The 12,525-nt window shown below is 39.9% G+C and overlaps 1 protein-coding gene and 1 long non-coding RNA gene across 9 annotated transcripts in view; one reads left to right on the top strand and one right to left on the bottom strand.

Moving 5' to 3' along the window:
• The window catches only part of SHROOM3 (shroom family member 3), a 348,025-nt gene that overhangs the window by 128,674 nt on the left and 206,826 nt on the right, over positions 1-12,525 (bottom strand). The gene's annotated exons all lie outside the window — the stretch shown is intronic.
• The window catches only part of LOC105377290 (uncharacterized), a 32,582-nt gene continuing 26,959 nt past the window's right edge, over positions 6,903-12,525 (top strand). For 6 of the 8 annotated variants that reach the window (XR_001741404.2, XR_007058149.1, XR_007058148.1 and 3 more), the window contains exon 1: positions 7,705-9,759. This is a non-coding gene — a long non-coding RNA (uncharacterized LOC105377290). Of the gene's footprint in view, positions 6,946-7,704; positions 9,760-12,525 lie in introns of those variants that run through there. The other 2 variants (XR_007058146.1, XR_007058147.1) reach the window with 2 other exon arrangements.

Genomic DNA, 12,525 nt, shown 5'->3' with positions numbered 1-12,525 from the left:
TCACTCTTGTGCTCCTTTAATCCATTTTCTGCATGGCAGCCTGGGCAACATGGTGAAACCCCATCTCTACAAAAAAAATACAAAAATTAGCTGGGCATGTTGGCACACACCTGTAGTCCCAGCTACTTGGGAGGCTGAGGTGGGAGGATCCCTTGAGTCCAGCCAGTAGAGGTTGCCAAAACAACTGGTTTAAACAAAAACATGTCACTTCCTTACTTGAAGGCTCTCAATGGCTCCCCACCTCTTAGAATAAAGTACAAACTCTCAGAATGCCAGACAAGGTCACCTGTCTACCTCGGCAGACTTTTAACGTTCCCTTCCCAACACTCAACACACACCAGGCTTTTTCACCTGTGTCTTATCTTACACTTCGACGTTAACTGCAACACTGAATTATGCCTCTGCTTCAGTGTCCTCACCTCCTCTACCCACTTATCTAAGACTCAGTTCAGGCCAGACAACTCGAGAAAGCTTTTCTTGACGCCTCCAGCTTCTACTGCCCAGCTGGGTTAGGAACTCTCTACCCAAGCCTGTTATCATGTCTATTTTGTTACATTTACCACATTGATTGGTAATTTATCTATATATGAGTTTTTCTCCATTACTAGAGTCTTCTATTTAAGGCAAAAACCATGCCTTACTCATCTTTGTATCCCCATAACCTAGCACAGTTCATGGCATGTTGCAAAGGCTCAATAAATAAAATGAACGAGCTGAGCATGGTGGCTCAGCTAAGCCATAGGCCCAGCACTTTGGGAAGCTGAGGTGGGCAGATCACTTGAGTCTGGGAGTCTGAGACCAGCCTGTGCAACATGGAAAAACCTCGTCCCTACTGAAAATACAAAAATTAGCCAGGTGTGGTGGCATGGCCCTGTAGTCCCAGCTACTCAGAAGGCTGAGGTGGGAGGATCCTTCGAGCCCAGGAGGCGGAGGTTGCAGTGAGCTGAGATGGTGCCACTGTACTCCAGCCTGAGTGACAAAGTGAGACTCTGTCTCAAAAAAATTAATTAGTTAAATAAAATGAATGAAGAAATGAAGACAAGAATGTGACTCTGCAGTTCATGCTTTTTGCATATACCACATGTCATACCATATGTCATGTATCTAGAATGCTGGTTCTCAACCAGGGGCAATTTTGCTCCCAGAGGACATCCTGCAATGTCTGGAGACACCTGGGTTGTCACAATTGGGGGAAGGTGCTATGCTTCTACCATTTATTGGGTAAAGGCCAGGGATGCTACTAAGCATCCTTCAATGGCCAGGGCAGACCCAACAACAAAGAACTATCCAACCCCAAACAGTAACAGCACCAAGGCTGAAAAATCCTGATCTAGAACAAGGTCTGGCACATGGAAGAATTCAATATAGGATTCCTAACCCTGACCGCTTAGTGGTACAAGTGGCAGAAATGATCATCATACTTGATATAAACCATATAATTGTATGGTATACTTCTTTAAGTTTACTGAGCAATTCTTCATAATATGAGCTCATTTCATAGCCTCAGACTTAAGGGAGATCAGTTCTAGCTTTGAAGTTAGACTGTAAATATAGCAAAAGTCCTACTGAGGATCAATGGAATATGATGCATGGCCCTCTCCTCCCATCTCTTGTCTCACCACACCATGATATATCTGCTCCAGGTCTACATCCCTCAACAACCAAGTAGAATGCCTGGATCGTGAGGGTAAACATATATTAGCTCACCAGCTAATATTTTTTGAGTTATATATTATATGTTTTATATATGTGTGTGTATATGTATATATATACACACACACACTTATACACACCACACACATACATCACAGAGAGAGAGAGAGAGAGGGAGACTCAAGTGTATCTCTTACATCTCTTACTTTGCATGAACTCATAACCTGGAATACCCTCTCCAGGAAGGCCTGGTCTCCCTGGGATCATAAGGAAATGTAAAAATTAAAACTTTTATGCTGTTGCATGAGTTTTATTGGCCATTCGACATAGCACAGTTAAGGCAGGAGCCTGTGATATGGGACACAGGCTGAGCTACTTCTCAGGGACTTCATAGTCCCATCAGCTATGTGTAACCTATAATACATGTTTATACTGGGCAATTCTTTTCATACATGCATATTCAACCTCCCAATGTTTGGAGATGGGTGCATGACAGAGGCTGCCTAGAGACATCAGAATCAGGACACAAGTTCTAAAGCCGCCACCATGACCCCTGCCTATAATTCAACTGCATGACCCCCTGTCTGAACCTTGAGGCAAATTTATGATCAGTTTCTCTTGGTTATCTTTAGCTTCTCTCTCAGTTGCCTTCTTATCAGTCCAGATGTCTTTTACTTTTGAGAAGAGCCATCTTTCTTGTCTCAACAACCTCCTTTTTCTTTATCTAGCTCAAATTATTAAACTGCCAAAACCAACTGCCAACACCAGGTAAGTTTGCCTCAGCCTAATACATATGAGCACAGAAATGGTTGTGTCCTTTTTTGGAATTGAATTGAACACTTAATTCATCCTAGAACACATAATTAATTCTAGAATTTCCAAGCTGAGATGAGGCATCCTGGGCCCCTTAGGTAGCTTTGAGTCCAAGTATAAATAGGAATGACCAGCTTTCTAGAAAAGATTTTCAATTGTAAAATAATGATTTTAGCCACCATTAAAACCATGGCAGGCTGAAGTGCAGGGGCAGTAAAGCTGGACATTGTGAAGCTTCCTTTGCCAATACCCCGATTTGCTGTATAGATGACTCATATTCAAAACTGATGGTTTATGACAAAGAATTTCCCGATTGGTTACATTGCCATTAAACATATCTTTTGGGAGTTCAAGCAAATTTGTAAGGAGGAGGCTTCTACTGGTTATGCTCTTTGGCTTGGACAATTAATTCATTTATAATTTAAACAAATAGAAAATGCAGCACTAGCTGGCTTTTAGGTTTCCTGACTGCTTGCCAGCCACTCTCCCAACTATTCTTTAAGTGGTAAAGACATTAGCCATTGATATCCAAGTGTGGCAGGAAACCCAGCTACTTGACAAGCCCAGAGATTCCCTGGCTTCTTGCTTATTGTTGGATGGTGGTATGGACTAAGTGGTTTTTTAAAAATCATACTTTTACTTTCATTTTTTGTGGGTACATAGTAGGTATATATATATATATATATATATATATATATATATATATATATATTTATGGGTTACATGAGATGTGTTAATACAGACATGCAATGTGAAATAACTACATCATGGAGAATGGGGTATCCATCCCCCTCAAGCATCTTTCCTTTGAATTACAAATAATCCAATTACACTCTTTAGGTGATTTTAAAATACACGATTAAGTTATTATTGACTATAGTCACCCTGTTGTGCTTTCAAATAGTAGGTCTTATTTATTCTTTCCATTTTGTTTTTACCCATTAACCATCCTTACCTCCCCACCCAGCCCACCACTACCCTTCCCAGCCTATGGTAACATCCTTCTACTCTCTATGTTTATGAGCTCAATTGTTTCGATTTTTAAATCCCACAAATAAGTGAGAACATGCAATGTTTGTCTTTCTGTGCCTGGCTTATTTCTTAACATAGTGATCTCCAGTTCCATCCATGTTGTTGCAAATGACTGGTTCTATTCTTTTTCATGGCTAAATAGTACTCCATTGTGTATAAGTACCACATTTTCTTTATCCATTCATCTGTTGATGGACATTTAAGTTGCTTCCAAATCTTAGCTATTGTAAAGAATATTGAGGCCAGCGCAGTGGCTCATGCCTATAATCCCAGCACTTTGGGAGACTGAGATGGGTGGATCACGAGGTCAGGAGTTCAAGATCAGCCTGGCCAAGTTGCTGAAACCCCATCTCTACTAAAAACACAAAAATTAGCTGGGCGTGGTGGCATACGCCTGTAATCCCAGCTACTTGGGAGGCTGAGGCAGGAGAATCGCTTGAACCCGGGCAGCAGAGGTTGCAGTGAGCTGAGATCGTACCGCTGCACTCCAGCCTGGGTGACAGAGCAAGACTCCATCAAATAAATAAATAAATAAATAAATAAATAAATAAATAAATAAATATACTTAAAAAAAAGAATGTTGCAACAAACACAGAAGTGCAGATACCTCTTTGATACACTGATTTCCTCTCTTTGAGGTATATACCCTGCAGTGGGATTGCTAGATTGTATAGTAGATCTCTTTTTAGTTTGTTGAGAAAGCTCCAAACTGTTCTCCATAGTGGTTGTGCTAATTTACATTCCCATTAACAGTGTATGAGGGTTCCCTTTTCTCTACACTCTCACCAGCATTTGTCATTGCCTGTCTTTTGAATATGAGCCATTTTAACTTGGGTGAGATATCTCATTGTAGTTTTGAGTTGCTGGACTAAATGTTTATGTACTCCCCAAATTCTCATGTTGAAGCCCTAACTTTCACTGTGGCCGTATTTGGAGATAAGGTCTTAAAGGTAGGGCCCTGATCAGATAGGATTAATATCATTATAAGTAGAGACATTGGAGAGCTCATTTTTAAACTCTCTCCAAGCACATCCACCTAGGAAAAGCTATGTAAGGACATAAGGAGAAGGAAGCCACCTGCGAGCCAGGAAGAATGCCCTCACCAGAAATTGAATTCTGCAAGCACCTTGATCTTGGACTTTACAGCCACCAGAGCTGTCAAAAATACATTTCTGTTGCTTAAGCCACATGGTCTGTGGTATTTTGTTATGGCTGCCCAAGTAGACTAATGCAGATGGTGATAAGAAAGTGTATTAAGGAATGTACAACCTACCAAGGTTGTGCTAATTACAATCACAGCAATCACCTAACAATTGTCCACCACAGGACAATTTTGACAGTGATTTCCTATACTTTTATCATCAAAATGCTAGATTTTAACCCAGGAATTATTTTGTATCAGATGGGGAATCAGTTATAAAGCACTCTTATCTGTATGATTTTTTAGAGTTATCCTTCTGATATTTGTCTTTATTATTTCTCTAATTTGGAAGAAAAGCTAGTTTACCTTTTACAACACCATGTCAAATTTATGTAGCATAATTATCCCAAATGTTCAAAGAATTTTGCTTAAAACTACTCACTGGTTTTGATTGAAGCCCTAGGATCCAGGGAAAAGGCTGAATCCATTGCCCCACTTTTCATTAAAAATCATTTTGCTTTCTTCTGGTATTTGATGAGAGAAGCAGCTCTTTGATTTGGGGGATCTTTTTAAGACTGACTTTGTTCTTTTTTAATCCCCACTGCTCCAGGCATCATTAGCTCCTTTTAATAGAAGTTTCAATTTCCTTTTATCCCTTTGAGTATGGGTTCCAATATCCTCAAAGCAGCACCTTTTAATTGGCCAGGAAAAGGTCACCCTTCTAAGAAGAAACCATATCACACATTCTAACAAAGTCAATGTGGGTCTCTGAGATCAGAAGGAGATGGTTGCTGGGGGTGGATTCATCCCCCAGCAAAATGGTTAACTAGCTAGCCGGTGGCATGTGATTACATTTTCAGCATAATTACTATATAATTACATATACCTACTCTTATCCAACACATTCTCTGCTATAATTAGTGGCCTTTATTTAAAGTTCATTTGTCTTAAAAAATTTTGTCCTCCTTTTTTTATTTAATCAATGGCTGAGGGACACTGTTAATTTTGACGATAGTTTCCTATATGTGATAATTTTCTGTGATACTCTCCTATACAGCTCCCCCCATCATATGCTTTTTAGAAAATGATATAAGGACATCTAATGTATTTTTCCACCTTCATATATCCACCACCACATGTTGCCTTGTATATTCTAGCAATAACTTCTCCAGTTAAGTCTAAAGTTATAATCAAATCTTACATCTACATGGTCACAGTTTCTAATCAAAGAAAGCCTTTTCAGATAGATCTACTCTATTACATTTTTTCTAGTGATACAAAACCGAATCTGGATCTGGAGTGGGTACCTAAATCCTCAGTGGAGGAGGGAAGTAGTGAGCTCTTTCAAAGCGATCTGAACAAATTCATATAAACATGACTCCATCAAGATGGCAGTAAAGGGTGGGCCGAGGAGGAGGCTGCTAAAAAAAAAAATGCAGGTCTTTAACAGCCTAGCCATCCATTTCAAAGAATCACTGGCATAAAGAAATACTCTACAATAGTTCATCTCTTACTTTCAACAGGCCACAATATTTGGTACCACAGGGATTGTTACTCAGACACTTATGAAAAGTTAAGCATTGGTTTTTTGTTTTTCTTTCTTTCTTTTTTTAAAGATAAGATATCACTCTGTCACCAAGGCTAGAGTGCAGTGGTGCACTCATAGTTCATTGCAGCCTCAGCTTCCTGGACTCAAGCAATCCTCCCATCCCAGCCTCCTTAGTGGCTGGGACCACAGGTACGCACCACCATGCCTGGGTAATTTTTTAATTTTTTGCAGAGACAGGGTCTCACTATGTTGCTCAGGGTGGTCTTGAACTCCTGGTCTCAAGTGAGCCTCCTGTCTTAGCCTCCCAAAGTGCTGGGACCACAGGTATGAGTCACTGTGCATAGCCAGCATTGTTATTTTTACACAATTCCTGTCTTACAGATGGTATCATGGATAAATATTATTATAAAAACTGATATGTAAGAAAGATACTACGATACATAAAATAAAATATCTAGGTCCATAGTTTTTTTCTGTATTATTATTATTATTTGAGACAGAGTCTAGCTGTGTCTCCCAGGCTGGGGTGCAGCTTGTACATGATCACTGCTCACCACAGACTCAACCTCCAGGGCTCAAGCAATCCTCCCACCTCAGCCTTCCAAGTAGCTAGGACTACAGGTGCACATCACCACATCCAGCTAATTTTTGTATTTTTCTGTAGAGATGGGGTTTCACCATGTTGCCCAGGCTGGTCTTGAATTCCTGGGCTCAAGCGATCTGCCTGCCTTGGCCTCTCAAAGTGCTGGGATTACAGGTATGATCCACTCTGCCTGGCTTCCTGTATTATTGTTTGAAGAAAAATAAATTGACCAGTTGATTTCTATTTATTTTTATTAATACATAATATATGTACATAGTTATGGGATACATGTGATATTTTGTTACATGCATAGAATGTGTAATGATTAAGTTGGAGTATTTACGGTATCTATCACCTGGAGTATTCATCATTTCTACGTGTTGGGAGTTTTTCAAGTCTCTTTTCTAGCTACTGTGAAATACACAATACATTGTTTTGAACTATAGTCACCCCACTCTGCTGTCGAACATTAGAGCGTATTCCTTTAACTGTAAGTTTGTACCCATTAACCAACATCTCTTCATCACCACCACTCACCCACTTACCCTTCCCAGCCTTTAATATCTAACACTCGACTCTCTACCTCCCTGGGATCAACTTTTTTAGCCCCCACATATGAGTGAAAACATACGATGATATTTGTCTTTCTCTACCTGGCTTATTTCACTTAACGTTAAGAACCTCTAGTTCCACCCATGTTGCTGCAAATGACATGATTTCATTCTTTTTTATGGCCAAATAGTATTCCACTATGTGTATATACATTTTCTTTATCCTTTTGCCCGCTGATGAACACTTAGGATTCCATATCTTGCTATTGTGAATAGCGCTCAAAATGTGAGTGCAGGTATCCCTTTGATATACTGATTTCTTTTCCTTTGGATAGATACCCAGTAGTGGGATTGCTGGCTCAAAGGGTAGTTCTATTTTCAGTTTTTCGAGAAATTGCCATACTATTTTCCACAGTGGCTGGACTAATTTACGCTCCCACCAACAGTGTATAAGAGTTGCCTTTTCTCTGCATACTTACCAACATGTGTTATTTTTTGTGCTTTTCATAATTGCCATTCCATGACTGGTTGATTTCTTTACAAACTTTCCAGAATAAAGTTCCTTAATTTCCCCTGCTTTTAAAGAATTGGATGAAATCTTAAGCTTAGCACATCTAATAGAAGTAGACCATCAAGAGCAAGGTAAGTGGCTGTCCTTATCTAGTCTTCCCTGAAGTACCGTGTTATGTGATAAATGTCACAGTCTGAGAGCAACATGGACAATTTAGGGCATATCAAAGAAGAGGGACCTTAACAGTCCAAAATGCTAGATCATGACATGGGAATAATAGGTGAAGATTGAATTAAAGACCTTAACCTGGAAAAGAAACAATTTGGCAAGGAAATGGTGACTATTCTTAAAGATTGGAAGGTGGTAAAGTATAAAAACTATTCGATGTTTTCTGTTTGGTCTAAGAAGGATGAAAGAATTGAAGTTTTGGGACAGCAGATATGGAGTTACCATAAAGAAGAACACTGTTGCAATTCAACAGGTTCTTTTTTTTAATTTTATATATATATATATATATATATTTATTTATTATACTTTAAGTTCTAGGGTACATGTGCACAACATGCAGGTTTGTTACATATGTATACATGTGCCATGTTGGTGTGCTGCACCCGTTAACTCATCGTTTACATTAGGTATATCTCCTAATGCTATCCCTTCCCCCTCCCTCAACGGGTTCTGAAAATGAAATAGTCTGCTTTCCTACTTAGTGAGTTCACTTTCCTTGACTGTGTTCAGATGGAAGCTAGTTGCCCACTTTGGGGGACTGTTGGAAAATGTATCAGAGAAGAAATGGAACTTCTTAAATCTTCGGTCCCCTTCTCACCCTGAAGTTCTATGAAGATGCCTATTTTGGGGAGTATGAGGCAGGCTAAGTAACCCTTATCTGAAATTCTTGGAAGAAGAAGTGTTTTGGATTTGGGATTTTTCCAGATTTTGGACTATTTGCATGTATATAATGAGATATCTTGAGAATGGGATCAAATATGAATGGTTTTAAGAATCTAGGTCTGTGGGGTTTTTCTTATATGTCTTTGTATTGGCTTTCCTAGCACACAGCTAAGGAAACAATTACTTTATTTCATTAAAAGAGGCAGTATATTAAAGCAGTCTAGTTTATTTAGACAAAAACCCACACAAAGCAAACAAAAAACCAAACTCCTTTTAAGGATGTTCTCCCAGAATTATCTATCTATGCTCATCTACTTAAATAGGCTCTTTTGAAATTTCTGCATGTGTTGTGCTGGGTGGGGTAGATACAACCTTTCTGTGGCCATCGTGCTGCCCAGGTGGGACGTGGAGACCACCACTTCACCCAAGGTGGTCGACAGCTCCACTCATGGCGTCCATCAGCAGTAGAGACACTAAATGAGGTTCGAGTCCTAGGAGGCATCCTCTGGGGATGTTGAGGGTCAAACTCGAGGCTAACAGTGACCGGTGGGGAGAGGCTGGAGAGAGAAACAGCCGAAATGAAGCTGCTCCTTCAGACAACTCCCTGCTTTCTGCTGCTAGTTGAGCCACAGAGATAAGTGGTAGGGCTTATCTTTATTGACTTTTACACCATGGTTGACTGCATAATGCTATGGAAGCCACTTCATATTAATTAGTTTAGGTAAAAGACTTGTAAAAGAGATAAAGAGACAGTGTGGTGTAAATATACAGGCTTTGGAGTCAAAGAGCCAGGGTTCAAGTTCTGACTTTCTAACTGTATGACCTTGAGCAAGTAAATTACTTAATCTCTCTAGGCCTCAGTCTCCTTATCTGTACAATGGAGCTAGGAATAGTTGCTGGCTCATAAGTGCTACATAAGTACTACATAAGTACTAGCTTTTCTTGTTTTCACAGAAACAGAAAACTGAACCCCATTTGAACTTGCTTCTCCTTAAGTCCTGTCCAAGACACAAAAGGAACAAAAATGGCATTGAGGTAAGAATCTAGGTCACATCAGATATGTTGCTCTGGTAATTGCAAAAGAACGTGAATCCAGATGAAATGATGCTGAAAGTGAAAGTGAATCCTATATAACTTTTAAAGGAAATAATATAAAAGTGTATATCCTTGCTAATTACCCTGATTTGATTATTACACAATGTATACATGTATCAAATCATCACATTGTATCCCTTAAATATATGTAATTATTATGTTTCAATTAAAAATAAAAGTTAAAAAAAAAAAACCCCGTATGTCCTGACATGGAAAGCTGTCCTATTTATTAAATTAAAAAGCTTGTTACGGTAGGCCGAGGTGGGCGGATCACCTGAGGTCAGGAGTTCGAGAACAGCCTGACCAACATAGAGAAACCCTATCTCTACTAAAAATACAAAAAATTAGCCAGACATGGTGGCGCATGCCTGTTATCCCAGCTACTCGGGAGGCTGAGGCAGGAGAATTGCTTGAATCCGGGAGAGAGGTTGTGGTAAGCTGAGATGATGCCATTGCACTCCAGCCTGGGCAACAAGAGCAAAAACTCTGCCAAAAAAAAAAAAAAGAAAAAGAAAAAGCATGTTACAAAACAGTATGATCACCTTTTGGAAAAAAGGATTACTATTGACATAAATGATGGTAATACAGCAGCCTATATATATAAAAGAAAAGAGGTGGGCTGGGTGTGGTGGCTCATGCCTATAATCCCAGCACTTTGGGAGGCCGAGGAGGGCAGATCACCTGAGGTCAGGAGTTTGAGACCAGCCTGACCAACATGGTGAAACCCTGTCTCTACTAAAAATACAAAATTAGCCAGGCGTGGTGGCACATGCCTGTAATACCAGCTACTTTGGAGGCCGAGGCAGGAGAATGGCTTGAACCCAGGAAATCGAGGTTGCAGTGAGCTGAGAACGTGCCATTACGCTCCAGCCTGGGCAACAAGAGCAAAACTCCGTCTCAGATTAAAAAAAAGAAAAGAGCTGGAGGAATTTCTACCCAACAGTAAATAATGATTTGGGGGTAGGAGGATAATTAAGATTTCATGGGATATTCACTGTATATCTGTTATTTCTGTAAGATTTGAATTTTTATAACAAATACTAATTTTTAAATGAGAAAAATCAGTGTTTAAAAGGCAAAATAAGAAACATTATCCTATTACAGATTTTAAATTTTACTATATACTGATAACCTTAAACTGTGTGTGAGTAGGCAATTAACGATGATAGGAAAATGGATGCAGGAAATGCTTCTCTGGTCTCCTTTCAAAATGATAACAAACATCACTGTTTAGAACCCCTTTCATCATACCTTAAATCTTCCCATGAACCTGCTGAAGCAGGCATTTGTGGTTAATATTTGGGCCTTGGCAGACTTACATCCTGGTCTGAATCCTGTCTCTCTGTCTTATAACTGTATGACCTTGGGCAAGTGCTTTAATTGCTCTGTGCCTCAGTTTATCTGTCAAGTGGGGCCAATAATAATACTACAAAGGGGTGTTCTGAGGATGAATTGAGCTACTGTTTGTAAAATGCCTAGAACAGTGACTGGCATTTAACAAACACCTAATAAAGAGTTTAGCCATCATTCTTTTTTTTTTTTTTTTTTTGAGACAGCATCTCAAAAAATGGCACGATGGAGTACAATGGTGCAATTTCGGCTCACCACAAGCTCCATCTCCCAGGTTCAAGCAATTCTCCTGCCTCAGCTACTGTAATCCCGAGTAGCTGGGATTAAAGGCATGCACCACTACGGCCGGCTACTTTTGTATTTCTAATAGAGATGGGGGTTTCTTCATGTTGGTCAGGCTGGTCTTGAACTCCCTACCTCAGGTGATCTGCCCGCCTCGGCCTCCCAAAGTGCTGGGATTACAGGCATGAGCCATTGCTCCTGGCCCATTCTTTTAACCTCATTTAGAGAGAAAACTCTGGATACAAATGATACATTAATCTCAAATCTCCCCTCCCCCACAAATACTCCAGAATCCTAACATTTATTCCCACTACCCTCCTCCCCCACCCAGATCAGCATTTTGTCACACACTCATGGGTATTGGCTTCCATTCCTTCATAGAGCCCTTGTTCCTGGCACCTCATGCTCTAACCTATTACCTAGATTCAGTTCTTTTGAATTTTCCTTTTATCTCTTTACAGTTCGGCTTAAATGGCTTCAGTGGTTTCCCATTGCCAAAAGTTTAAATTTCAAACAACTTTGTTTGTCCCTTCACACATTGGCCTCATCCTGCCACTATGGTCCATTCACTATTCCCCAAGAACCACAAGAGCATTCCTAATCCTGAGCCTTTGCCTCCAGTGACTGGCCTCCTCCCAACCTGCTTAATCCCATCATCTCAAAATCCCAGTGGCGTCATACTGCATATTCAAGAAAGCTGTCAACCATTCAAATCCAATCACGTCTATTTTGAATTCCTTGAACACCTCAAATCCTGGCCCTTGTTCTAATTTGAGACCCAATCGCAGTCATCCTTACCCTGTTACATGGCTTTGGGGGTTGAGGGTGTCATATGTATATTCAATAAGCATTTATTGATCAGGCTTTAGACATTTAGAAATGAGGAAGACAAAGAGTCCTTGCCCTCACTGAGCTCATGATCCATTAGAAGAGATAGGGAGTAAACAAATAATTGCTTTGTTACTTTGTAACAAAGTACATTGGCCATATCCTATATCAGAAGCACATATAAGACACAATAGGGGCCCAAAGATAGAAACAATCAGGAAAGAATGAGCCAACATTGAGGGCATG

The sequence above is a fragment of the Homo sapiens genome, chromosome 4 (assembly GCF_000001405.40).
Source record: "Homo sapiens chromosome 4, GRCh38.p14 Primary Assembly".
Lineage (NCBI taxonomy): Eukaryota > Metazoa > Chordata > Mammalia > Primates > Hominidae > Homo > Homo sapiens.
Note: the sequence above shows the minus strand (reverse complement) of the source record. Positions and strands in the feature narration are given on the sequence as shown.